This window comes from Homo sapiens, chromosome X (genome assembly GCF_000001405.40).
Source record: "Homo sapiens chromosome X, GRCh38.p14 Primary Assembly".
NCBI classification, from domain to species: Eukaryota; Metazoa; Chordata; class Mammalia; order Primates; family Hominidae; genus Homo; species Homo sapiens.
The window spans coordinates 118,706,988-118,734,674 of record NC_000023.11 but is presented as its reverse complement, the minus strand read 5'-3'; the positions used below and the strand labels follow the sequence as shown (position 1 = coordinate 118,734,674).

General features: G+C 44.9%; 1 protein-coding gene across 2 annotated transcripts in view, besides 1 other annotated feature; it reads right to left on the bottom strand.

Annotated features, from left to right (window-relative positions):
* The window catches only part of IL13RA1 (interleukin 13 receptor subunit alpha 1), a 77,623-nt gene extending 70,554 nt beyond the window's left edge, over window positions 1–7,069 (bottom strand). For both annotated transcript variants that reach the window (XM_047442096.1, NM_001560.3), the window contains exon 1: window positions 6,949–7,069. In XM_047442096.1, coding sequence (XP_047298052.1) covers window positions 6,949–7,036 — 88 coding nt within the window. In that variant the 5' untranslated portion in view covers window positions 7,037–7,069. The remainder of the gene's footprint in view (window positions 1–6,948) is intronic.
* Window positions 7,031–7,460: a silencer, noted in NCBI's record as "silent region_20950". NCBI's record gives its function as "represses an Ori minimal core promoter by ATAC-STARR-seq in GM12878 lymphoblastoid cells {active_cell/tissue: GM12878}" and the evidence as "EXISTENCE:reporter gene assay evidence [ECO:0000049][PMID:35858748]".

Below are 27,687 nucleotides of genomic sequence, written 5' to 3'. Positions count from 1 at the left end.
ACCAAGTGGGATTTATTCCTGGAATACAAAGATGTTTTAACATACAAAACTTGATCAATGTAATATACCACATTAACAGAATAAAGGGGAAAAAACTACCTGATCATCTCAATTGATACAGAAAAAGCATTAGACAAAATTTACTTTTCATGATAAAAACACTCAACAAACTAGGAGTGTAAGAAAATTGACTTAAAAGTTATATATGAAAAACCCACAGTAAACATCACCCTTAATGGTGAAAGACTGAAAGCTTTTCCTTTAGGGTCAGGAATGAAACAAAGATGCCCACTTTCACCACTCCTATTCAACATAGTACTTGAAGTTCTACCCAGAGCAATTAGGCAAGAAAAAGAGATAAAAGACATCCAGTTAAAATAAGATGTAAAATTATCTCTGTTTGTAGATGATATGGAAACACATCCCATGTTCACGTATTAGAACACTTAATATTGTTAAGATGTCAATACTATCCAAAGTGATATATAGATTCAATTCAATCCTTATCAAAATCTTAATGGCATAGTTTTGCAGAAATAGAAAAATCCATCCTAAAATTCTTATGAAATCTCAAGGAACCCTGAATAGCCAAACAGTCTTGAAACGGAAAAACAAAGCTGTAGGACTCACACTTCCTGATTTCTGAACTTACTACAAAGCTGCAATAATCAAAACAGTGTGTACTGGCATAAAGACAGACATACTGATCAATGTAATAGAATAGACAGTCCAGAAATAAACCATCACATGTATGGTCAAATGATTTTGACAACAGTGCCAAGACCACTCAATGCAGACAATCTTTTCAACAAATGGTGCTGGGAAAACTGGATATCCATATGAAAAAGAATGAAATTGGACGCTTACCCAATACCAAGTAAAAAAAAAATTCAAAATGGATCAGAGACTGAAATTTTAAGACTAAAACTATAAAATTTTTAGAAGAAAACATAAGACAAAAGCTTCATACCATTGGATTCAGCAACAATTTCTTGGATATGACACCAACAATGTAGGTAACAAAAGAAAAAATTGACGAATTGGATTTCATGGAAAAAATTAAAACGTGTGCATCAAAATATTCACAGAAAAAAGTGACTCACAGAATGGAAAAATATGTGTAAATCATATATCTGATAAGGGATTAATATCCAGAATATACAGAGAATGCCTAAAACTCAACAATAAAAAAAAATTCAATTCAGAAATAGGCAAAGGCTTAAATAGATATTTCACCAACAAAGATAAGGAAATAGCCAATAAGCACATGAAGGTGTTCATCATCACTAATATTTAGGAAAATGCAAACCAAAACCACAATGAGATTTCACCTCACTCCCATTAGAATGGCTACTATCAAAAAACAGAAAATAAATGTTGGCAATGATATGGAAAAATTCAAACCCCGGTGCACAGTTGGTGGAAATTTAAAATTTCACTATGGACAACAGTATGGTGGTTCCTCAAAAAAATTACAAATAGAATTATCATATGATACAATAATTCCATTTCTGGGTATATACCCAAAAGAAGTGAAAACAAGGTCTCAAAGAGATATTCTACACCCAGGTTCATAATAGTATTGTGAAATTGCTAAAACATGGAAGCAACCTAAGTGTCCATTGACAGATAAACAGATAAGCAAAATATGGTATATGCATACAATGGAATATTAGTCAGCTTTTAAAAAGGAAAAATTCTGACATATGATACAACATGAACCATGAGGGCATTATGCTAACAGAAATAAGTCAGTCACAAAAAAGACAAATAGTATAAATCATGCTGCTATAAAGACACATGCACACGTATGTTTATTGCAGCACTACTCACAATAGCAAAGACTTGGAACCAACCCAAATGTCCAACAATGATAGACTGGATTAAGAAAATGTGGCACATATACACCATGGAATACTATGCAGTCATAAAAAAGGATGAGTTCATCTCCTTTGTAGGGACATGGATGAAACTGGAAACCATCATTTTCAGCAAACTATCGCAAGGACAAAAAAACCAAACACTGCATGTTCTCACTCATAGGTGGGAATTGAACATTGAGAACACTTGGACAGAGGAAGGGGAACATCACACACCGGGGCCTGTTGTGGGGTGGGGGGATGGGGGAGGGATAGCATTAGGAGATATACCTAATGTAAATGACGAGTTAATGGGTGCAGCACACCAACATGGCACATGTATACATATGTAACAAACCTGCACGTTGTGCAATGTACCCTAGAACTTAAGGTATAATAAATATATATATATATATAAATTTAAAAAAGGAAAAATTCTGACATATGATACACCATGAACCATAAGGGCACTATGCTAACAGAAATAAGCCAGTCACAAAAAAGACAAATAGTATATCATTACATTCATATGAGATACTTAGAGTAGTCAAAATCATAGAGATAGAAAGTGGAATGGTGTTTGCCAGGGGCTAGGGGCAGGGGAAAATGAGGAGTTATTGTTTAATGGGTACAGAGTTTCAGTTTTACAAGATAAAAAGAGTTATGGGGATGGATGGTGATGATGGTTGCACAGCATTATGAATGTATTTCGTAACACTGAACTGTGTACTTAAAAATGATTAAGATGGTAAATTTTATGTGTATTTTATAATAAAAAATTGAAAAAAACACAGGCACTGAAACTTTAATCTCCAAATGTTTAAATATATACAAATACATGTGAACTGTGTGTGTATACAACATGCCTAGACATATATATGATTAAGTGATGATTATACTACTTGTAAAGGTCTCTAACAGCTCTTCGTGTATAACTTCAACATAGTGTAGTGTTTAAGAGCACAGACTCTGGAGCCTGACTGCCTGAGTTTATATCCCACCTCTACTACTTGCCAGCAGGCAAATTACTTAACCTCTCTATTTCTCAGTTTTCTCATCTCTAATATGAGGATAATAATAGTAACCTCTTGCAAAGGGTTATTATGAGGATTAAATGAGTTAATACAAGCAATGTGCTTAGAATAGTGCCCACAGGCAGCAAGTGCTATGTGTTAGCTATCTGCTTTATTTCTTTAAGACAAAACAATTCTAAAGAGTTGCTTTTTTTTTTTTTTTTTGGAGACGGAGTCTCGCTCTGTTACCCAGGCTGGAGTGCGCTGGTGTGATCTTAGCTCACTGCAAACTCTGCCTCCTGGGTTCAAGCGATTCTCCTGCCTCAGCCTTCCGAGTAGTTGGGATTACAGGTGTGCACTGCCACGCCTGGCTAATTTTTGTATTTTTAGTAGAGACTGGGTTTCGCCATGTTGGCCAGGCTGGTCTCGAACTCCTGACCTCAAGTGATCCACCCACCTCGGCCTCCCAAAGTGCTGGGATTACAGGTGTGAACCACTGTGCCTGGCCAGGGTTGCTTTGGTTTTCTGTTGAATTGATATGTGTCCCTGGCCTTTGAGACAGAACAAGTATCCCTTCTACCTGATAAGCTTCCCTTAGGCACCTAATTTCAACCATGTCTTGGGGATTGCACCACTGACTTCAGAAAAGGGAGTAGGAAGGGACCCAAGTATGTCTGTATCTAAACCTCAAATCCCAAGTCTGTACAGTCATCTAGCACAACATCCTATTTAAATTAAGAGTTAACACAATCTACTATTTCATAAGAAGGCATTTTGCTTAGCTTATAGCTTTTGCTCTCGCCTGTCCAATCACAGCAGCTAGCAGAGGCATGCACATTTTGGGAAAAGTTAAGGAAATCACAAGAGTCATATATGAGTCATCTGTCCCTTCCCTTACATCCACTCAGGCATCAACTCCTGTTCGTTTTTTTCTTCCAACATCTTTCTTAGTTACCCCAATCATGCAAATATGCTCTGTTGTGCCCCACCAGGTGGGAAGATACCAGTAAGTCATGGTCCTGGACAGGAAGGGTTCGCAGCACATTTTTCTAGTGGAGACCTGCAACCATAGATTCTTATGTAGCTTCACACTCCAGGGGCTCCCCTACCCAGTGAAGTCTCCCTGCTTGCTTCCTCCTTCTGTGTTATTTTTCCCATGCTGTGCCGGACTCAGAGCTTTCAAGGGCAAATCAAGCTATTCTGCCTGGATTGACTTTACCAATGCACTCTCCTGCCAAGCCAGGTTCCTTCTTGACCACAAAGGAGCACTCTTGCCCTCATTTCTGGGTCTCTGCTCCTGCTATTGCCCCCACCTGGAATAAATTCTCCACCTACTCAAATCCCAGTCATCCAGAAGATCTAGCTCAAGTTTTACCTCTTCCATAACACTACCAACCGTCAGCTTTTTCTCTTTTGAATGCCTATAGTACTAGTTGTTTGGACCACACAGCCCAGCCACTATAAAGCCAGTCTCCAATGTAGTATCATTCGCTTCTTTTTTTGTTTTGAGACAGTCTTGCTCTGTCGCCCAGGCTGAAGTGCAGTGGCCTGATCTTCCCTCACTGCAACCTCTGCCTCCCAGGATCAAATGAGTCTCATGCCTCAGCTTCCTGAGTAGCTGGGATTACAGGCATGTAATCCCACACTCGGCTAATTTTTGTATTTTTAGTAGACGGGGTTTTGCCATGTTGGCCAGGCTCAAACTCCTGGCCTCAAGTGATCCATCTGCCTCAGTCTCCTAAAGTGCTGGGATTACAGGCATGAGCCACTGCACCCGGCCTAATATAGTATCATTAGCTTCTTAACAAATGGCTTGCACATACTTTCGTGGGTCCCAAGCCGTCCTGCCCTGCTACCCTGGGAGGTGTCCAGCTAAGGACTCTCGTCTTTTCTGCTGGGCAGAAGCAATGAGTACAGTGGTTAAGGGCATGGCCTCTGGAATCAGGCTGCCAGGGTTGGAAACCTAGCTCTTCCACTTTGCCAGGTATGCGAATTTGGGCAAGGGTCTTGGTCGCACTGTGCCTCAACTTTTTCGTGTACAAAATGGGACTAATAACAGCACCTACAAGTTATATTATTGGTAAAGATTAAATGAAATAGTACAAGTAAAGCAGCTAGAAAACTGCTGGGCATAAATGCTATATACATGCTAGTTATAATTAAGACATGCCACAATGTGGGCCATTGAGTGGGACAGGTTAAACTAAGCTAGTAATCTAATCACTTTTATAAACACTCTGAGGATTAGAGCTGGAGGAGCTCTTAGAATTTATGCAGTTCAACCTCCTCATTTCACAGATGAGAAAACTAACTGCAGCACAAAAGAGAGGAAATGACCAGCCCAGAGTCCCACAGGTGGTAAATATCAGAACCACTAAAACTCAAGTCTCACTGGAAACATCTAATTTTTTCCCACCATACCTCAATGCAATTCTATCAATACTTTTAATGGGGAAAGAAGTTTGTTTTCTAAATAAGCAAGCTAACGACAAACCATTGTGACAGGACTGATGAAGTTGGGAGTTGCCAGTATTCTCTAGATGGCCAGCTGTTGTTTCAGGTGTGTGTGGGAGTGAGTCTGTAGGAGGGAGGGTGCTGGAGTGGCACTGTGAAAATCAGGAGACTAATGAGACGGGTAACTTTAGACAAGTTCCTTCCCTTCTCTGGACTGCAATGTCCCCATATGATTACGGAAATCAGGTGTACCCAACTAAACTAGAGGCCCTTTTGGGGCAAGAATTTTGCTATACACTCTCAGGTTCTAAGTCAACCTAGAGGGCCTGACTCAGTACTAAATAAGGCAGACACCTGAATAATTATTGACTGACAAGCTTCAAGTCTCCCTCAGGTCTCTACTCAAATGCCACCTTTCAGCAACATTTGTTTTCTTCTCGATCCACCCTTTTTACAATGGCAAACCCCTTCCCACCTGCTCTGTTTTTCTCTACTTAACACCCTCAGACATATCATATATTTTACCCCCACCCCCCGATATGTCTGAGGGCAGGCACCTCATCTGTTTTGCTCACTGCTGCATCCTCAGCCCCTAAACACTGCCTGGCAGCATGTATTTTATTGACTGAATCCATAGAGGGCATTAAGGTTTCCTAATCAACATTTCAACTTGGATTTCAAAGCACATTGGTAAAAATGCAATAAGCATATATAAGTGTTTGTGTCAATGTGATAATAAAACCTATACAGTTTGGGGCTTTCATTGTCACCAAAAACGTCCAGAAGGCCATTCCTTCCAGGAGCTGCTCCTAAGGAAGTCATTAACTCCCAATTTTTCACAACTGCCAGGTTGATTAACTAGAAGTTACCAAACAGGGTGAGGGATATACACAACTCTCTGAAGTATCTTTGCAACTTTTCCATAAATCTACAATTACCCTAAAATATAAGGTTTATTAAAGAGAGTGGGGTGGGGGGAGCATCTGCCGGGATGCTATTCTGGATTTCCCAAAGGATTTCTTCGACGCCAGAGGAGGTCATGAGCGTCACGTCCTTTTTCAACAAGGACTGAGATGTTTAGAGGTTCCCTTCAACTTCCACTCGCAAGAGCCACCCTTAGACAGTGAGGATTGGCGCGGCCTCGGGCAAAGAGCCCCGGCGCGTTCTCAGCTCGCCTGGACTTCGGTCGTGGTCCCCGCCGGCTCTGGCGCCTCATTTCCTCCCGGGCTCACAGGCGACATTCCGGGCGCTGACCCACGGCCCTCTGACGCCGTGGGCATGTTTCGGGCCCCCCGCCCCCGCACGCCTGGACGCCAGCCTCCTGGGCTCTTCCCACTACAAGTCGCAGCCCTCTTACTTCGCTGCCGCCACCTCCGCCGCACCCGGAGTTCGGGAAAACCCCGCAGCTCCCGGGTCCCACCTCGAACCGGCCCCAGTACCGGGCCCCAGAGATCCCGCGCGGGAAGCCGCAGCCGCCGAGCGCGGGGCCTCGCGAGGGCAGCCCCCAGCACCCACCCCAGCTTCGGCCCTCCGCCCGGCGTTGACCTCCGGGGCCTTTCAGCCGTGACCCTCACCGCCCTCAGCCCTCCGGCCGCCCCTCGGGCCCCGAGGGTCGCACTCACCCGTAGGCGCGGCGCCCCCGCCCCCGCCCCCGCCGCCGGCGCAGAGCAGCAGCGCCCACAGCCCGCAGAGCCGCGCCGGCCACTCCATGCAGCCTCTCGCCTCGGAGCCCGGCCGGGCTGGAGCCTTGGCAGTCCCCGCCTCCTTCGCTCCCTCTTCCACTTCCCGGCTCCGCCGCCCTGGAGGCTGGGGGCCGGCGCAGACGGGAAGGGCCGCCCCGCCCACCGGCCTCAGGTAACCTGAGCCGGCGAGAGCGGCCGGAGGAGGCGGGGCGGGGCGCCGGCGGCTCTGGCGGCTCTGGCGGCTCCTACGGCTCCCAAGGCTGGACACCTGGCCCACCCGCAGCTCCCGCGTCCGGTCTCTGACCGAACAAAACTTCTTCCACCACGTCGCCGCCCACTCCGGGCGCTGCCTGGGCCTCCTCCCTCCGCGTGGCGGAGCCGGCGTCGCCGCTGCCAGCACACTTGCGGGGCCTCGGAGGTGCTAGGGGCTGTGCCCTGCTGGACACCAGGACAGAGTCATCTGCGGAAAAGAGCCTTGGCCTGGGAGTCTGGAGACCTGGCTTCCAGCCCTTGACCTCTGAGCCCTTGTTTGCTAGCGCTGACTCCAGGGTTAGTAATACCAGCCCTACTTCACTGGGTGGAGTTGGGGACACTGGCAGTACTGTGCTTTGTGAAAAGGACAAAGGGCATATTTGAAAGCTGGCAATACATAATGTTGATTTTAAAAGGAACATTCCAAACATGAGGGAGGATACCATACGTGCATTTTTTAAAGCACACGACAAACTTTCTACATATTTTTCAAAGGGATGGGAGGTGAATCGGAAGAATACACATTGATACTTGGGCGCCTATGAGGGTCAGTGAGGCTGGGAGGAAGGAAAACAAGAGTCCTTAGGCGTTTCCTGTTGCTGCTGTCAAAAATGACCACAAATTTAGTGATTTAACAGTTTTATTTTATTACAGTTCTGGAGGTCAGAAGTGACACTGAGCTTAAATCAAGGTGTGGGCAGAGATGTATTCCTTCTGGATATTCTAGGGGAGAATCTGTGTCTTTGACTTTTCCAGCTTCTAGAGGCTACCCACATTCCTTGGCTTGTTGCGGAACTACTCAGACCTCTGCTTCCCTTGTCGTATCTGACTCTGACCCTCTTACTTCCCCTTTTCCCTTATAAATACCCTTGTGATTAGATTAGGTCCACCAGATAATTCATAATAATCTCCCCATCTCAAAATCCTTGATTTAATCATAACTGAAAAGTCATTTTTGCTATGTAAGTTAACATATTCACAGGTGTTGGGGATCACGATATGGAATCATGGGAGGGGGACATTATTCTATCACCTTCTCCCAAAAAAGAATCATGTCTAGGTGGATGATGAGACCCATAATGAGGTGTATTTTGGCCGAATTAAGCCAATGCATATACCTGAAAACAGTTACAAAAAGTATAGCAATAAAAATGCTGATAATATACCTAGTCTAGACCCCACCCAAAGGGCACAGGGTTGTTTAACCTATTCACAACAAAGGTTCCACTCTTGGAATTAAGGCTCTCAAACTCAATAAATATTTATGAAATTGTTCCAGGAACTGTTGAAGACACTCACCAAAAGCAAGCTCTGCTAACAGAAAGCTGCAGTCAGTCTGAGGGGCAATGATAAGGGCAAGAACAAGGAATTATGGGATACAAAAAGGGTACCTTTTGGGAGGGAAGGAGCAAGGGAAGCTTCCAGGAGGAGGGCCTGCCTGTGCTGAATCTCAGGATGTTGATTCTTTTGGCTAACGGTTCAGAATAAATTCCAGAATCCAGGCATGGTGGCATGCACCTGTAATCCCAGCTATTCTGGAGGCTGAGGTGGAAGGATCACCTGAGCCCAGGAGTTCAAAACCAGCCTGGGTCTGTAACAGAGTGAGACCCCGTTCTCAAAAAAAAAAAAAATAAATCCTGGCTTGCATGTGTTATCGAACAAAATAATGTTTATGAAAACAGTTTGTAAAGTATCAAGGCCTGTAGAACTGAGAGATAGTATCATTATTTCTAAATCCCTCCCACAAATAGGTCAGCCACTGTGTATCCCAAGGCCTTTCCTCCACCACCACGGACATATACACTTGTTGACATTTGCTATAAACATTATACAATAAGTTTATAATAACGTTTCCAAAATGGTTATGTCATCTGCCTTTTAAGGAGTCTTTAGTTGGAACAGGAGCCCCTGGGGACTGGCTGAGTGCCATCATGGGCACTGCTTGGCATAGATTGACCAAGCGCTTAATAAAACAGTAATGGTAGCAAATGATTAGAAAAATAGGGATTGCAGCTTGTCATGAGCTTCCAGAAAAGCCCTGAGAATCTGAACATCGTGAGGAAAAAAAACAAACGGCAGTGTGGAGAGGGGAGAGACCTGATTTCTTTTCACCAAGATAGTTCCGGCCTGCTGGCCTTAAGACTATATTGTTACTTTCCTTTCTTCCCGACCCTGAACATCATGCAACGATTTTTCAAATTTTTGGAAGGGGGTGGAAAGAGTCAGGAATGCTGTTTCTTCAACATAAAACTTGTATTTGTAATCTCCGTGTAGTGTGATTCGAAGAGCGTCTTGGATTGAATCAGGCCACTGCCCTGGTCTGCAGGAAGAATGAAGACAGATAGAAGGCTTTCCAGGAACTGCAGTAGACAAGGAGCTTTCAGTTTGGCTTTGTGTAAATCAAAATCATGATGAGTCAACATCAAGTTTAACCCTTAGAGTCCTGATGACTTGGGTGCGAGACTACCAGTGGCCTTTCTTTCACTTTGGCCCGGGGTGGCTGGAGTTCTGCGCTGCCCTGTGTACCTAGGCCACTCCACTCAACTGTTTTGACCTTTGCCCTTCTCACTAAGTCTTCGTCCATTTCTGTAACTGGAGGCTGAAAAGGGCATATGCAAGAAAATGTCTGGCAGGAAAGAATGATGTCCCTCTTTCCAAAGTCAGGTGTCCTTCCATCCATTTAGAGACACCTTCCTGAGTCCAAAAGGGACACAGACACCAGCATATTCCAAGGGCTTAGCTAAAAGTGCTGGTCCCTTAGACAAAAATCTCACAAAGAGTCCTCTAAGCAAAACCTCACACCACTGCAAAACAAAGAAAAAGGAGAAGTTGAAAACAGGGAATTTCCCTCCCGATTCTGGATCAGTGGCCCCCAACCAGGGGCAATTTTACATCCCAGGGGACATTCGGCAATATGGAGAGATATTTTTGGTTGTCATGACTGAAGCGGGGGCATGCTTCTGGAATGCAGTGAGTAGAGGCTGGGGATGCTGCTGTTAATACAATGCACACGACCGCCCCCACAACAAAGACTTACTCTACTCAAGATGACAACAGCGCCAAAGGTGAGAGAGATCCTAAGCTAGAATACTCTTTGTTGTCTTTTGTATTTGGTCCCCACCCACCCACTGTCCCCCATGCCTGGCCAAAATTAGAGATGAATGCTAAAAGTATGTACTCTTGACAACTCCCTTTCCTGTATCTCGTACCCCCAGTTCCCCATCCACTGTCTAGTCCTGCAGTCACTGATTAGATGGTAAAACATCTCTCAGATCTATTCCTCCCCCGACCACCCAGTTTCGCCTCTATGGTTCTATTTCAGGACTTTATTACCATTCCAGAAACAGTCTTCAAACTGGCCATGAGGGTCTACCCTTTACAAGACAGATCTTCCCAATGAGCAATCTGTCCATGTCACTCCTCAGCTTAAGCTTAAGTGACACCCCTCCCTTCATCAAATGCCACAAAAGGCAGTCTCAACTCCTCTGCCTGCAGGCTTGCCTCTTCAGGTTAGATTCCCCACACTCTTCCTAGCTTCACTTCCAGCCAAGCTTCCAGGTTCCAGGTGGCTGACTGGCCACCTTCAGGCTGAATCTCCCTTGTGAGCAATTGTGTTTGGTCCATATCATGTTGGAATTCATGGGGATCTAGATGCCAAAGTGTTTTTTTTAAGTCAGGAGATTTTGCCTAAGGCCCCAGATTTCCAGCTTCTCTTAATAAATCAAAAGTCCTGGTAATATTGGACCTGTTTCAGTGTAGAAACCGTCAGCAGATGTCAGATGGGCTGCCACCTTGTTAACAGGGCATGTACTTCCTGTCTGCACATGCCCTAGGGCTCCCTATTGCTCCCTGGCCTAGTCAGCGTTTCCTCACTTATGACTTGCCCGGTTCTTGTTTGTCACCTGTGATATTTTCTCACTGCAAACCTTTTATCTTGCTGTTCCCTTTATCTAAAATGCTTTTCCATTTCTCAAGTGTCACATTTTTTAGGGGCTTCTCTAACTCCCAAATGCAAAATTCTTTGCTCCCTCCTGTGTGTGTGCTCATAGCACCAGACACGTTCCTCTATCATATCAAATCACACAGAGGTTTGTGTGCATGTCTATTTCTGCCACTGGATTCAAGCTCCTGGAGGTCAGACTGTCCAGGGTGACTCCAGGTTTTCTACCTAGGAGGAGCTTAGTGGTGGTAATCTGATTGGAAGGAACAATCCCCAGGGGCCTTGTCTTGGAGCCATGTATGTACAGCAAGAGCTCTACTCTTACTTAGATTCTGAGTGGATTGAGTCGGGGGAGCTTGGAGAAAGGCATCCTCTGGCACCACAGAGAATATAAAGATGAATGGAACATGGTTAGTGGCTCATAACTCATTCTCAATGTTTGGGTTTAATTGAATTAAAGGTCCTTGCTCTTCAGCAGGTGGTTTTCTTCTACAGTTTTAGTGGAGTTCACTCAAGGGAGTGTTGCTTGCACAAGAGGCCACTGACAGGACCCTTTGGGTTTTGCCTGAGAGTAGGCACGCTTCTAGGTGACTGGGTCAGTGTCCTGAAACCCGTAGACCTGTGGGCCTCCAAACTTTACAGCAGGTTTTTTTTTTTTTTTTTTTTTTTTTTTAAGATGGAGTCTCGCTCTGTTGCCCAGACTGGACTGCAGTGCAATCTCAGCTCGCTGCAACCTCCACCTCCTGGGTTCAAGAGATTCTCCTGCCTCAGCCTCCCAAGTAGCTGGGATTACAGGCACATGCCACCATGCCCAGCTAATCTGTGTATTTTTAGTAGAGATGGGGATTCGCCATGTTGGCTAGGCTAGTCTCAAACTCCTGACCTCAGGTGATCCGCCCGCCTTGGCCTCCCAAAGTGCTGGGATTACAGGCGTGAGCCACTGCACCCAGCCTACAGCAGTTATTAAATTGACTCTTTAATTCAACAAGGCACTCCCTTTACCCAGAAATCTCCAATGCTAAAGTCCTCAAGATGGCTTCCAAGGCCTTACCCTATCTGACCCCATTATCTCTCTAACCTTCTCTCCTACTGCTCTCCTTGGCTCCCTTACTCTCCTCCAGCAACACTGACCACCTGGCTGTTCTTCACACAAGCTAAGTGCACTCCTGCCCGAGGGCCTTTGCCTTGACTTTTTCTTTGGCTATTTGCTCTCTCCCCGTCAAGATATCCTCATGCCTCACTCCCTGGCTTCTGTCAGATCTCTCACTGAGACCTGTCCTGGCCACCCCATTGAAAACTGCAAGCCCCATGGCCACTTCCTTTCTCTCCTTCCGCTTCCTGGGTCATTTGCTGTCTCCACTAGAATGTAAGCTCCATCAGGGCAAGAAGTTTTTTCTGATCGGTTCCCAGCTGGATCCCCAGCACTCAAAACTATATGTGGCACATAATACATGCTCAATAAATATATTTTAATTGAATAAATAAATTGTACATTTTTCTAGGTGCTGTGAGGAATACCAACCAACAAACCAAAGGCCTGCTCTTAGGAAACTCCTGGTCTAAGTTGTGGAAAGGTATAGAGAGCAATTAGAGAAAATGTAAAAAGCAAACAAACAAAAATGGTACAAATGCTCATCTGTGATATGGGTTCAAAGAAAGGTGACACAGGCCTGTGCTTTTGAAGGTTTCGTACAGTAGATGGGAGTTGAACTAGACCTTGAAGGATGACCAGAATGAGAGAGGGAGGTTAGGAGGAGAGAGAGAGAGAGAGAGAGAGAGCAGTCAGTTTATGGCTTGACCTCATAAGCAATAAGAAGTCACAGCAGGCTTTTTACAAACAAGATGCTGACATAATACGTGGTGTTTTGCTTTCTAAGATGAATTACCAAGAGTTTGTTAATTCTTGTCTGGAGGTAAGAAGGCCCAGGAAAGAATATTTGAGGTGTTGGCAGCCAGGGACAGGGCCAGCCTCCAGGCAAACTGCTGGCTCCATCAGTCAGAGCCCAGGTGCCAGGAGGCTGATTCTTCCCTGGGCAAAATGACTTGGGGTGCTGCTCTACACAGGAGCATGTTCCTGGGGCCTGGAGCCCCTACGCTCTCTTGCTCCCCTTGAAAGCATTCATTATTCCTTTCAGAAGCTCCCTGGCCTCACTTCCTCCAGGCTGCCAACCCTTCCTCTCTGGAATTGGCCTTGCTCTGTTTTCCAACACTTCAGTCTCTGAAAGAGGAAGGGCCTCTGTGTCTTAGCATCCAGGTCCCCTCCTTTGGCTTCTGGCTGCGTTGCTATCATCACTGCCACTACCACTACCCTGGCATCTTAGCCAGGATCCCCTACAACCTTTTCACTGCACTTTCCCCACCCTGGATCTAAAACTCTATGTAGGGCCTGTCCCCTGTTCTGGTCCAGGCAGGACAGGTCCAATCCTTGTACACTTTACCAGCCCCGTTAGTGCTTTGCCACTCAGTTCCCTGGCGTTAGGATCTCTCCTCGGCCTTAGGGTTCCTCAGTTTAAACATTCACACTTTGGGAGGCTGGGGCAGACAGATCACTTGAGCACAGGAGTTCCAGACCAGCCTGGGCAACATGGCCAGACTCCATGTCTACAAAAAATACCAAAAAAAATAATAATAATTAGTCAGGAACTGTAACATATGCTGTAGTCCCAGCTACTCTGGAGGCTGAGGCTGGAGGATGGCTTGAGCCCAGGAGGTGATTGTAGTGAGCCGAGATCACGCCACTACACTCCAACCTGGGCGACAGAGCAGGATTGTCTCAAAAAAAAAAGAAAGAAAGAAAGATTCAAATGCTCCATTTGTGTGTTAGTCACCTGCACCTTCTTGCCTTGAAAGGTCTCCATTGTTTGCTTTGAAAGTGTAGGGCAATTAGTATTTTCATTTAAACAAAGAAGCCTCTAGTCCCTCTTGCCCCAATCCACAACACCTCTCCAAGGAGGGGGCTCTTTGCATATCTGTAACTCCACCCCATTAATGCTGTCATTTGCATATCCCAATAGCATCCCCAGAGGTCACTCTGCATATCTAGCTATTGGACAGATCCCTGTGCAAGCACAGAATTGAGGCCTCATTTGTGGATTGGAAAATACCAGGCTTCTGGAGGAGCAGCAAAACCCACCCCAGTTCAGTCCCTGCATAAACCCATCTTTCCCATAGTCGTTGACCTGGACTGCCTTTTCCGACCCTCAGTCATAGAGCAAGTTGACTGCAGTGTGACCTCATTGGCATCCCTGGTGCTATGCTGCACCAGCCTTGCTACTTCTCAGCCACAGAAGCAAGGACCCCTCCTTAACTTCTTATTCCCAGTTTCCAGGATGGTACCAATCTTTGCGAGTGTGATGAGGTTTGCTTTATGTCACAACATATAGTTTGTTTTTGTAAATGTTCCATGAGTGTTTGAGGAAAATGCATATTCTCCAATTACTGGGCCCAGTGTTCTATACGTTCCATTAAGTCAAGTTTGTGGATTGTGTTGGTCAAATCAACATACTTGCTGGTTTTTTGTTCCTTTGGACCTGCTAATTACTGAGGGTGTTAACGATTCTCACTATGATATTATGAGGGTGCATTTGTCAAATTCTTCTTATAATTCTGTTAATTATTGCTTTATATATCTTTTTCGACGCTATTTCATCAAATACACGCAAATCTAGAATTGTTATAGTTTCCTCGTGAACCAAACCACTTATCACTATGAAGTACCTTTCATTAATGAAGTACTATTCTTTGTCTTAAAAGTGTATTTTGACTAATTTATTATAACTTCATTAACTTTCTTTTGTTTAGTATGTACCTGGTACATTTTCTTACATCCTTATTTTCCTTTCAGTGCAATTATGTTTTGGGTCTGATCTTGGGAACAGCATAAAGTGCAAATTCGGTTTTTTCTATCCAATAGGCAATTGTTGTCTTTTAACTGTAGACTTTAGTTCACTTAGATTTACTTCTTTCTTTTTTCTTAATTTAGTAGAGATGGGGGGGTCTCCCTACGTGGCCCAGGCTGGTCTTGAACTCCTGAGCTCAAGTGATCCTCCCACCTTGGTCTGCCAAAGTGCTGAGATTACAGGCATAAGCCACCACACCCAGCCAGACTTCTAATATATTTATACTTATATCTACCATCTGATTCTGTGCTTTCTATTTGTCCCATTTTTCTGTTTCTTTTTATCTTCTTTCTAGAATTGTGTTAAATGTTGTGGGCATTTTTTTTTTTTGGCCTTTTTAAATAACAAGAGCATGTTTTATCTTTTGTAAACCAGGCATAATGCTATAATAGTGCCTACCACAGGGTTTATTGTAACGATTAAATGAGATGAAGAAACTGACATAAAATGCTTATCCAGTGCCTAGCACATAATAAGCACTAATAAATGGGAACTATTATTAGAATTTCTAGTACTCTTTCATCTTTACAGTTCCCTTGTCTCTTGAGGTTCCGCTTCTGTTGTTCTCCTTTCTGCTGACATTGTCCCATTTGTTCTTAGTCCTTTTTCTTTCATTTCTCCTTTATTGCCACTCAATTTCCTGTTTCCTCTTACCCTTTCATCCCCAGGCAAGCTACATGCACAAGCTGCAATGATGAAGCCCTTTTGGGGAAGAGAGTCAATGTAAAGGGGCTTGGTGGCACAGCAGGGACAGGATCAGGGAGGAGTGCCTTGTCTACTGATCCCCACTCCACAAGCTGGCAAAGGTACACATAGCCAACGCTGGGCACCACTCCTGGCTGGCCATGGTGGAATTAGATCAGCTGGGATCACCGGTTTTTGTGAATGAGTTTAAAGGCCATAGCGTTCACCAACTAGGATACAGTTGAATTCCTTAGCACCTTCATGTATGAAGGATAGCTGGATCCTCACTCTCCACTCTCAAGAAGTAGGGCCGGGCACGGTGGCTCATGCCTGTAATCCCAGCACTTTGGGAGGCCGAGGCGGGCGGATCACCTAAGGTCAGAGTTCGAGACCAGCCTGGCCAACATGGTGAAACCCTGCCTCTATTAAAAATACAAAATTAGCCGGGCGTGGTGGCGCATGCCTGTAATCCAAGCTATTCGGGAGGCTGAGACAGGAGAATCGCTTGAACCCAGGAGGCGGAGGTTGCAGTGAGCCGAGATCGCACCATTGCACTCCAATCTGGACAACAAGAGCAAAACTCCGTCTCAAAAAAAAAAAAAAAGAAGGAGCCCCGCTGTGGGGGAGTGGGTCTCACCTCACTAGGAATTTGTGTATGCACAGGCCAGAGCCTGGAAAGAGGAACCATTTGTACTCAAACACATTGTGGTCAGAGGAAAATTTTGTCATCATTGTTGTGACAGAGCCGCAACTAAATTTAACAAGCTGTGTATTTTTGTTTCCTTCATGATGCATGGAGAAAGCAAAACATTTTGTTTCCAAAAAAGCAAAAACTCTTCAAACAAAACAAAACGACAACAAAAAGCCTTCTTCTAATTTGGTATTTGATTGCTGTAGAGATTCCTTTCTCTAGTTGCTTTAGATTTTGCTTTTTCATGTCCTTTGTAGCATGACGTACTTTCAAGATTCATTGTGTCACTGGAGGAACATTGGCACTTGGTGGAGTTTTGGGTGCTTTTCTGTTTTCTGGTGGTTTCCACACTTGGATTGAAATAAACAGAGGTGCCGAACTTCCATATTTCAATCGAGTCTCACGACAACTTGAGAGTCCAATATTTTGATGACAACTCAGCATGTGCTATCATTCTTCACGGTAAATTTTAAATAGACACTGTTGGTAATTTTTGAAATTTCTTTATTACAAAACTACAATGTCAACTTACAAGGTAGATGAAATGCAATATATTTCTGACTGCTTGCATCTACAATAACAAAATGCCTCTATATTATTCAGAAGTTCTAAAAAACAAACTATATATAATCTATCGTATCTATCTTTATCAAAGACAATGATACTGCGAGCATAGAAACAGGAGCAATTTGGTATTGACAGGTGACAGCATGCTGGCAGTCCTCAGAGCCCTCGCTTGCTCTCAGCGCCTCCTCTGCCTGGGTTCCCACTTTGGCGGCACTTGAGGAGCCCTTCGGCCCGCCGCTGCACTGTGGGATCCCCTTTCTGGGCTGGCCAAGGCCAGAGCCCGCTCCCTCAGCTTGCGGGGAGGTGTGGAGGGAGAGGCGTGAGCAGGAACCAGGGCTGCGCACAGCGCTTGCGGGCCAGCTGGAGTTCCGGGTGGGCGTGGGCTTGGAGGGCCCCGCACTACGAGCGGCCGGCCGGCCGGCCAGCCGGCCCCGGGCAGTGAGGGGCTTAGCACCCAGGCCAGCGGCTGCGGAGGGTGTACTGGGTCCCCCAGCAGTGCCAGCCCACGGGCGCTGTGCTCGATTTCTCGCTGGGCCTTAGCTGCCTTCCCACGGGGCAGGCCTCGGGACCTGCAGCCCGCCATGCCTGAGCCTTCCCCCGCCTCCGTGGGTTCCTGTGCAGCCCGAGCCTCCCCGACGAATGCCACCCCCTGCTCCACGGCGCCCAGTCCCATCGACTGCCCAAGGGCTGAGGAGGGCCAGCGCATGGCGTGGGACTGGCAGGCAGCTCCACCTGCAGCCCCAGTGCGGGATCCACTGGGTGAAGCCAGCTGGGCTCCTGAGTCTGGTGGGGACGTGGAGAGTGTTTATATCTAGCTCAGGGATTGTAAACACACCAATCAGCACCCTGTGTCTAGCTCAGGGTTTGTGAGTGCACCAATGGACACCATGTATCTAGCTGCTCCAGTGGGGCCTTGGAGAACCTTTATGTTTAGCTCAGGGATTGTAAACACACCAATCAGCACCCTGTGTCTAGCTCAGGGTTTGTGAGTGCACCAATCGACACTCTGTATCTAGCTGCTCTGGTGGGGCCTTGGAGAACCTTTATGTCTAGCTCAGGGATTGTAAATACACCAATCGGCACTCTGTATCTAGCTCAAGGTTTTGTAAACACACCAATCAGCACCCTGTGTTTAGCTCAAGGTTTTTGTGAGTGCACCAATCGACACTCTGTATCTAGCTGCTCTGGTGGGGCCTTGGAGAACCTTTGTGTGGATACTCTGTATCTAACTAATCTGATGGGGACCTGGAGAACCTTTGTATCTAGCTCAGGGATTGTAAATGCACCAATCAGCACCCTGTCAAAACAGGCCACTGGGCTCTACCAATCAGCAGGATGTGGGTGGGGCCAGATAAGAGAATAAAAGCAGGCTGTCCAAGCCAGTAGTGGCAACGCGCTCCGGTCCCCTTCCACACTGTGGAAGCTTTGTTCTTTGACTCTTTGCAATAAATCTTGCTACTGCTCACTCTTTGGGTCCACACTGCTTTTATGAGCCGTAACACTCACCGCGAAGATTTGCAGCTTCTCTTCTGGAGCCAGCAAGACCACAAGCTCACCAGGAGGAACGAACAACTCCAGACACGCTGCCTTAAGAGCTGTAACACTCACCGCGAAGGTCTGCAGCTTCACTCCTGAGCCAGGGAGACCACGAACCCACCAGAAGGAAGAAACTCGGAACACATTTGAACATCAGAAGGGACAGACTCCAGACGCGCCACCTTAAGAGCTGTAACACTCACCGCGAGGGTCCGCGGCTTCATTCTTGAAGTCAGTGAGACCAAGAACCCACCAATTCCGGACACAGTATCTTGCAATCCACAGAAAAGATTTGAGGAGTAGAAGGTGAAATGAACATAAACGGGAGACCAACACACGGGGATGCAGAGTGAAACCCATATAGGAAATAGTTTTAGGAAAGAGTGGGAAAAGGAAAGGAGATGAGAGAGACAGAGAGAAAGTAGGGAATGAGAGCGGGAGAGAGATGAACAGGAGAGAGGGTCTTCCACTATTAGTAGCCAGATAAATATTTGATTTGAAGTGACTCTGCGGGGGTTTTACCTCTCCTAGTATGCTGTAGACCAGTGGCTCTGAAACTTTTGATCTAGAGACCCCTTTAAACTTTCAAAAATTGTGGAAGACCTGATTCCTGCTTGCTTTCCCTCTTTCCCACAGCTATTCATCCCCAGAGCACTCCTTACTTAACCACCTGTCTCAGAGTTTACTTCCTGGGGAACCTCACCTGTGACAACTGTCCAGCACAATGCCTGCCGTATTAATGCTTAAATGACTGCAGCAATTAGTTTCTTCAGTTGCAAATGTACTTGACTTTAAACAAACTAAATTAAACAACTTTTAGACACATAGGGGTTATTTATTTTGTAAACAGTTTCTTTCTTTTTTTTTTTTTTGAGATGGAGTCTCAGAGTCTTGCTCTGTCGCCCAGGCTGGAGTGCAGTGGCAGAATCTCGGCTCACTGCAAGCTCCGCCTTCCAGGTTCATGCCATTCTCCTGCCTCAGCCTCCTGAGTAGCTGGGACTACAGGCACCCGCCACCACGTCCGGCTAATTTTTTGTATTTTTAGTAGAGACCGGGTTTCACTGTGTTAGCCAGGATGGTCTCAATCTCCTGACCTTGTGATCCACCCGCCTCGGCCTCCCAAAGTGCTGGGATTACAGGTGTGAGCCACCGCGCCTGGCCATAAACAGATTCTTGAATTCTCTCAAGGTATTTAACTGATAATATGATTTATTAAAAATAAAGTAAAACAGACAAAAAACAAGGTATCATTAGGGAAATGCAAACCAAAACCACAATGAGATACATCACACCCATTAGGTTGGTTTGGCTATTATCAAAAAGCAGAAGATAAAAAGAGTCATCCAGGATGTAGAAATATTAGATCTTTGTGTACTGCTGATGGGAATGTAAAATAGTGCAGCTACTATGGATAACAGTATGGAGGTTCCTCAAAAAATAAAACAGAATTGTCATAAGATCCAATGACTACACTTCTAAATATATACCCAAAATAATTGAAAGCCGGGACTTGAACAGATAATTGTACACCCATGTTCATAGCAGCACTATTCACCATAGCCACATGATGAGAACAACCCAAATGTCCATCAGTGAATGAATGGATAAACAAAATGTGGTATCCACATACAATAGAGTATTATTCAGCCTTAAGGAGAGAAATTCTGACACATACTACAACGTGAACTTTGCAGACATTATGCTAAGTGAAATAAGCCAGTCGCAAAAGGATAAATACTATATTATTCCTCTTAAATAAGGTACCTAGAATAGTCAGATACATAGACACAGAAAGTAGAATAGTGGTTACAAGGGGCTGGGAGAGGGGAAATGAGTTATTTTTTAATGCATACAGAGTTTTCTTTTTCTTTTTTTGGAGACAGCGTCTCACTCTGTTGCCCAAGCTGGAGTGCAGTGGCACAACCATAGCTCACTAGGCCTTGACCTCCTGGGCTCAATGGATCCTCCCACGTCAGCCTCCTACAGATGGGTGCTGCCACACCTGGCTAATTTTTGTATTTTTTGTAGAGATGGGATATCACCATGTTGCCCAGGCCGGTCTCAAACTCCTGAGCTCAAGTGATCCTCCTGCATCAGCCTCCCAAAAAGTGCTGGGATTAGAGAGGCATGAGCCACTGGACTCAGCCACATACAGAGTTTTCAATTTGGGATGATGAAAAAGTGCTGGAGACAGATGGTGGTGATGGTTGCAGAACATATGAATGTACTTAATATCATGGAATTGTACACTTCAAAATTGTTAAAATGGTAAATTTTATGTGATGTGTGTTTTACCACAATAAAAATGTACAAAATAAAATGTATAAATATGTCTGAAATCTTGCAATACCTTATAAATTGGCTGCATTCCTTTTTCTTGCCAGATAATAGTTCATTGTATGAATATATCACCCTGAAAACATCATGCTAAGTGAAAGAAGCCAGTCACAAAAGACCATATATTGTGATTCTATTTATATAAGATGTCCAGAAGGGGCAAGTCTATAGAGACAGAAAGTAATTTAATAGTTGCCAGGAACTGGCGGGAAGACTGAGGGGGGGAGGGCAGGCAGGGAAGAGGAGTGACTGCCAATGGGCACATTAGCAAATGGGCACAAGTGTTTTTGGGGGGTTGATGAAAATGTCGTAAATTTCATTGAAATGTTCTAAAATTAATTGTGGTGATGGCTCTGTAACTCAATGAATATACTAAAAACCGTTGAATTCACTTTAAATCACTGAATTATATCTCAACGAAAAGGTTAATGAAAACTGAAACAATAGAAAAGAGTCTTGGGGACTATCTTTCCTGATTGACCAAGGAAATTAAACTTTTTGCCTCTGTATGGAAAGGTAGGTGGGCTTTCTTGTGTTTCTCTTCAATCATTCAGTAAGTATGTTACAGTAGGTAGCTAGTAAGGTATGAGCAGGGCAGGAGAGGGCTCCCCCGACACACACACCAGTAGTGTCAGGCAACCATCCCGTGATGGTCAGGCAATGAGTGGTTAACTGTCTTTCTAAAGTAATAATTGTGGCCAGGCATGATGGCTTACACCTGCGATCCCAGCACTTTGGGAGGCCGAGATGGACGGATTACTTGAGGTCAGGAGTTTGAGACCAGCCTTGCCAACATGGTGGAACCCCGCCTCTACTAAAAATACAAAAAAAGAATTAGCCAGGCGTGATGGTGTGCACCTATAATCCCAGCTACTCAGGAAGCTGAGGCAGGAGAATCGCTTGAATCTGGGAGGTGGAGGTTGCAATGAGTCGAGATTGCACCACTGCACTCCAGCCTGGGAGACAGAGGGACAGTCTGTCTCAAAAAAAAAAAAAAGTAATAATTGGTCACAGCCGGTGCCAGGGAAAGGCAGTCTCCTAATAGAAAACACCTGAAACTGGTGATGAGCAACTTCCTGATAAGATCTCAGGAGTTGGGCGAGTGAGGAGAAATAGCACAAGACCCTAGAAGTATGCCAACCTATAAAACTCTAAGTCAAAGGTCAAACTGGGCACTTGTCTCTCAAGTCACCCACTTGGCCCTCTTCTGAGTGTACTTTCCTTCCTTTCATTCCTGCTGTAAAGCTTTTTAACGAACTTTCACTCCTCTAAAACTTGCCTCACTCTCTCCTTTTCCCTTACGCCCGTCAGTCGAATTCTTCTGAGGAGGCAAGAATTGAGGTTGCCGCAGAGCTGTATGGATACGTTTCACCGCTAACAAATATTTATTGAAAACATTCTCTAGGCAAATAATACTGTTGAAGGTAAATACCGGCCTACAAAAAGATATTATGTTAAAAAATGGTGTCTGCCTTTTATTTTATTTTTTGAGACTGAGTCTCGCTCTGTCACCCAGGCTGGAGTGCAGTGGCGCGATCTCGACTCACTGCAACCTCCGCCTCCTGGGTTCAAGCAATTCTCTGCCTCAGCCTCCCAAGTAGCTGGGATTACAGGTGCCCACCACCATGCCCAGCTATTTTTTTTTTATTTTTAGTAGAGACGGGGTTTCACCATGTTGGCCAGGCTGGTCTTGAACTCCTGACCTCGTGATCCACCTGCCTTGGCTTCCCAAAGTGCTGGGATTACAGGCCTGAGCCACGAGGCCCAGCCTTATTTTAGAGACGGAATCTCTGTCGCCCACACTGGAGTGCAGAGGTGCAATCTCAGCTCACTGTAACCTCCACTTCTTAGTTTCAAGTGATTCTCCTGCCTCAGGCTCCTGAGTAGCTGGGATTACAGGCATGTGCCACCACTTCCGGCTAATTTTTGTATTTTTGGTAGAGACGGAATTTCACCATGTTGGCCAGGCTGGTCTCAAACTCCTGACCCCAGGTGATCCACCCACCTTGGCCTCCCAAAGTGCTGGAATTAAAGTTGTGAGCCACCCGCACCCCCCAAGTCTGATATGATTTTTTTCTAATTCACCATTTCACTGAGGGAAAGGGTAAGTGAAGATCCAGTCTGTATATGGGGTTCTTGGTTCCAGGGCCTTGGCTTTTCTCTCTGTATGTTCATCGTATTGGTTAGTATTAGGTTCAGCTGAGAGAAACAGAGCTTCAAAATAATAGTGGCATAAACAAGAGGAAAATTGATCTCTCATGGAACAGTCTAGAGAAAGGCAGTCCAAAGCCAGTGTGGACTGTTTGTCCTCGTAATGTTCTCAGGCACTCCAGCCTCCTTTGATCTTGTTGCTCTACTCTATATGACCTCTATTTCTCAGGTCATCTCATGGTCCAAGATGGTTCCTCCAGCTCTAGGCTTCACTTTCACATTCCAGCCAATAGGAAAAACTAAAGAGCCAAGAAGAAAGGGACATGGCAGCTATCTTTTGAGATTCCCAGTACCTCCACATGAAATTTGCTTTTATATCCCCTTGGTGAGAGGTTAGTCACAGTGGTCATTACTCTGGGTAGCCATGTATGCAGTTAAAAATTAGTAGTTCTATTTCTGTGGACGTAGAGGAGAATGGGTGTTAGAAAATAACTAATAGTCTTGGGCTGGGTGCAGTGGCTCACACCTGTAATCCCAGCACTTTGGGAGGACAAGTCAGGCAGATCACCTGCGGCCAGGAGTTTGAGACCAGCCTGGCCAACATGGCAAAACCCTGTCTCTACTAAAAATACTAAAATGAGCCAGGCATGGTGGCGTATGCCTGTAATCCCAGCTACTCCGGAGGCTGAGGCAGGAGAATTGCTTGAACCCAGAAGGCAGAGCTTGCAGTGAGCTGAGATCGCGCCACTGGGTGACAGAGTGAGACTCTGTCTCAAAAAGAAAGAGAGAGAAAGAAAGAAAAGGAAAGCAGAAAGAGAGAGAGAAAGAAAGAAGAGAGGGAGAGAAAGAGAGAAACAGGCCAGACGCAGTGGCTCACGCCTGTAATCCCAGCACTTTGGGAGGCTGAGGCGGGCGGATCACGAGGTCAGGAGATCCAGACCATCCTGGCTAACGCGGTGAAGCCCCATCTCTACTAAAAATACAAAAAATTAGCCGGGCGTGGTGGCACACGCTTATAGTCCCAGCTACTCGGAAGGCTGAGGCAGGAGAATGGCCTGAACCCAGGAGGTGGAGCTTGCAGTGAGCTGAGATCGCGCCACTGCACTCCAGCCTGGGTGACAGAGTGAGACTCCATCTCAAAAAAAAAAAAAAAAAAAAAAATAGGAAGAAAGGAAGGGAGAAATAAAAAGAAAGAAAGGAAAAGAAAGAGCAGAACTAATAGTCTTGGCCACAGGGGTTGAATCTCGAATCACTAGATCACAGTTCACCTGCATGTCCCTCTAGTTTTCATTTCCTTCATCCTTTCTGGACTCTATTTTTCTTGCACTCAGTTGTGCCTTTCATTTATCCATTCATTCAACAAATATTTATTGAGCATCTACTATGTGCTGGAAACTGTTTTAGGAGCTGAAGATACAGCAGTGAACAAGATGAAAGTCCTACCCTTATTGAGCTTACATTCTATTTGGGGGAAACAGACCATAATCCAGAAAATGTAATACTATGATGTCAGAGGGTGTGAACTGGTATGGAGAAAAATAAAGCAGGTTAAGGGGATGGGGGGGTCCCGGGAGTGGGGTGAGTGGTTATTTTTTTTTCAGGGAAGGCCTCTGTGATGAGGTGACACGTGAGTCGAGACCTAAAATGAGGAAGAAAGCTATGGTATCATTTTGGGCAAGAGCATTCTAAGTGGAGATAACAGCAACTACAAATGGTCCGAGGTGGAAGTGGACGTGGTGTGTACAAAGGTCAATAAGGAGGCCTGAGTGACTGGAGTGGAGTGGGAGAGGGATAGCAGCTCTTCTCCAGAGGCAGCAAAGTGCCAGATTAGCCAGGGCTTCATAGTCTTTTGCGATTACTTGGAATGAGAAGAGAAGCCATTGGAGGATTTGGACAAAGGCATGACTTAACCTGCCTTATGTGTTGTTGGTTTTTTAAAACTTGAGATAGGGTCTAGTTCTGTGGTCCAGGCTGCAGTGCAGTGATGCGATCTCAGCTTACTATAACCTCCGCCTCCTGGCCTCAAGCACTCCTCCCACCTCAGCCTCCCAAGTAGCTGGGACTACACACATATCAACATGCCTGGCTAATTTTATATATATATATATAGTGTGTGTGTGTATATATATATACACACACATATATATGTGTGTATATATATATACACACATATATAGTGTGTATATATATATACACACTATATAGTGTGTATATATAGTATATATAGTGTATATATATAGTGTATATATAGTGTATATATATAGTGTATATATAGTGTGTATATATAGTATATATAGTGTGTATATAGTATATATAGTGTGTATATATAGTATATATAGTGTATATATAGTATATATAGTGTATAGTGTATACATAGTATATACAGTGTATATATAGTATATATAGTGTATGTATATAGTATATATAGTGTATGTATATAGTATATATATAGTGTATGTATATAGTATATATATAGTGTATATATATACACTATATATAGTGTGTATATATATAGTGTATGTGTGTGTATATATATATATATATTGTGTGTGTGTGTGTGTGTGCACGTGTGTGTAGAGATGGAGTCTCACCATGTTGTCTAGGCTGGTCTGGAACTGCTGGGCTCAATCAATCTGCCCAGCTTGGCCTCTCAAGGTGCTGGGATTACAGGTGTGAGCCACTGTGCCCAGCCTGCATTATGTTTTAAAAGGATCACTTTGGCTGTTGAGTTGAGAATAGACTCTAAGGTAGTAAAGAGTGGATACAGGAAGATAAGTTAGAAGGCTATTGTGGTTAGCTAGGCATGAGATAAAAAGTATATTTTGAAGGGAGAGACACAAATATTTAGTGAAGGATTAGATACAAGGTATGAGAGAAAGAGAGAGGCTGACTCAACTCCTAGGTTTCTGGTCTGAGCAATTAATTGAGTGGTGACACCATTTACCGAGATGGGGAATTCTGGGAAAAGAACAGGCTTGTGGGGTAGATTGAGGGTACTGTTCTGGCCAGGTTAAATTTGAGATATGCAATGGGAAAGGTCATAATACAACTGGGCATAATTTTTTTTTTTGAGACAGAGTATTACTCTGTCACCCAGGCTGGAGTGCAATGGTGCAGTCTCAGCTCACTGCAACCTCTGCCTCACGGGTTCAAGTGATTCTCGTGCCTCAGCCTCCCAAGTAGCTGGAATTACAGGTGTGAGCCACCACGCCCAGTTAATTTTTGCGTTTCTAGTAGAGACGGGATTTCGCCGTGTGGCCAGGCTGGTCTCGAGCTCTTAACCTCAAGTGATCCACCCGCCTCAGCCTCCCAAAGTACTGGGATTACAGACGAGAGTTACTGTACCTGGCCAGGCATAATATTTTTGAGATTAGAGAAATCTGGGTTGGAAACTCAAATTTGGGAGCCATAAGCCTATATATATGACCATGAGATTGGATGAGATCAGGAAAGGCAGCAGGGAGGTTGGTAGATTTGGCAGTGGGAGGAGGATACTCTCTTCTGATTCCAGTTTTTTTTTCAGTGCAATGAGAAAGAAGATCATTTGCTGACAGTGAGATGCAGAAGAGGAAACAAGGTTTGAGGAAAGGGGAGATGATATTAAATAGCTATTTGTGATGTTGTTATATTTTACATTTCTAGGTGTTTGTTGTGGAAAGGGTTTTTGTGTTATTCATTGAGCAAGTTTTGCTGTCATAGCTCACTTTTGTAATGAAGAGAAAGGTAATTTTATTTTATTATTATTATTTCTTTGAGACGGAGTCTACCTCTGTCACCCAGGCTGGAGTGCAGTGGTGCGATCTTGGCTCACTGCAGCCTCGACCTCCTATGCTCAGGTGATCCTCCCACCTCAGCCTCCCGAGTAACTGGGACTACAGGTATGTGCCACCACACCCAGCTAATTTTTTTTGCATTTTTGTAGAGATGGGATTTCACCATGGCTGGTCTTGAACTCCTGACCTCAAGTGATCCGCCTGCCTTGGCCTCCGAAAGTGCTGGGGTTACAGGTGTGAGCCACTGCACCCGGCCAGTAATTTTAAATTGAAAGATAAGTAGATAACAATCATCCTGTCGAAAATCAGGCAGAAGATGTTTTATTAAGACATTGACTGGCTGGGCATGGTGGCTCATGCCCATAAATCCCAGCACTTTGGGAGGCCGAGGTGGGAGGATCACCTGAGCCCAGGAGTTCGAGAACAGTTCTGGGCAACATGGCAAGACTCTCATCCCCACAAAAACATTTAAAAAGTAGAACAATAAGTAAATAAAAGAAACTGATTAGACACCATAGAAAAAGGAAACAATCACAAATTTGAAATGTTCCTTTTTTTTTTTTTTGAGACAGAATCTCACTCTGTCACCCAGGCTGGAGTGCAGTAGTGTAATCTCAGCTCACTGGAACCTCTGCCTCCTGGGTTCAAGCAATTCTCCTGTCTCAGCCTCCCGAGTAGCTGGGATTACAGGCACCCGCCACCACGCCCAGCTAATTTTTATGTATTTTAGTAGAGACGGAGTTTCATCAGGTTGGCCAGGCTGGTCTGGAACTCCTGACCTCAAGTGATCCACCTGCCTTGGACTCCCACAGTGCTGGGATTACAGGTGTGAGCCACAGTGCCCGGCCT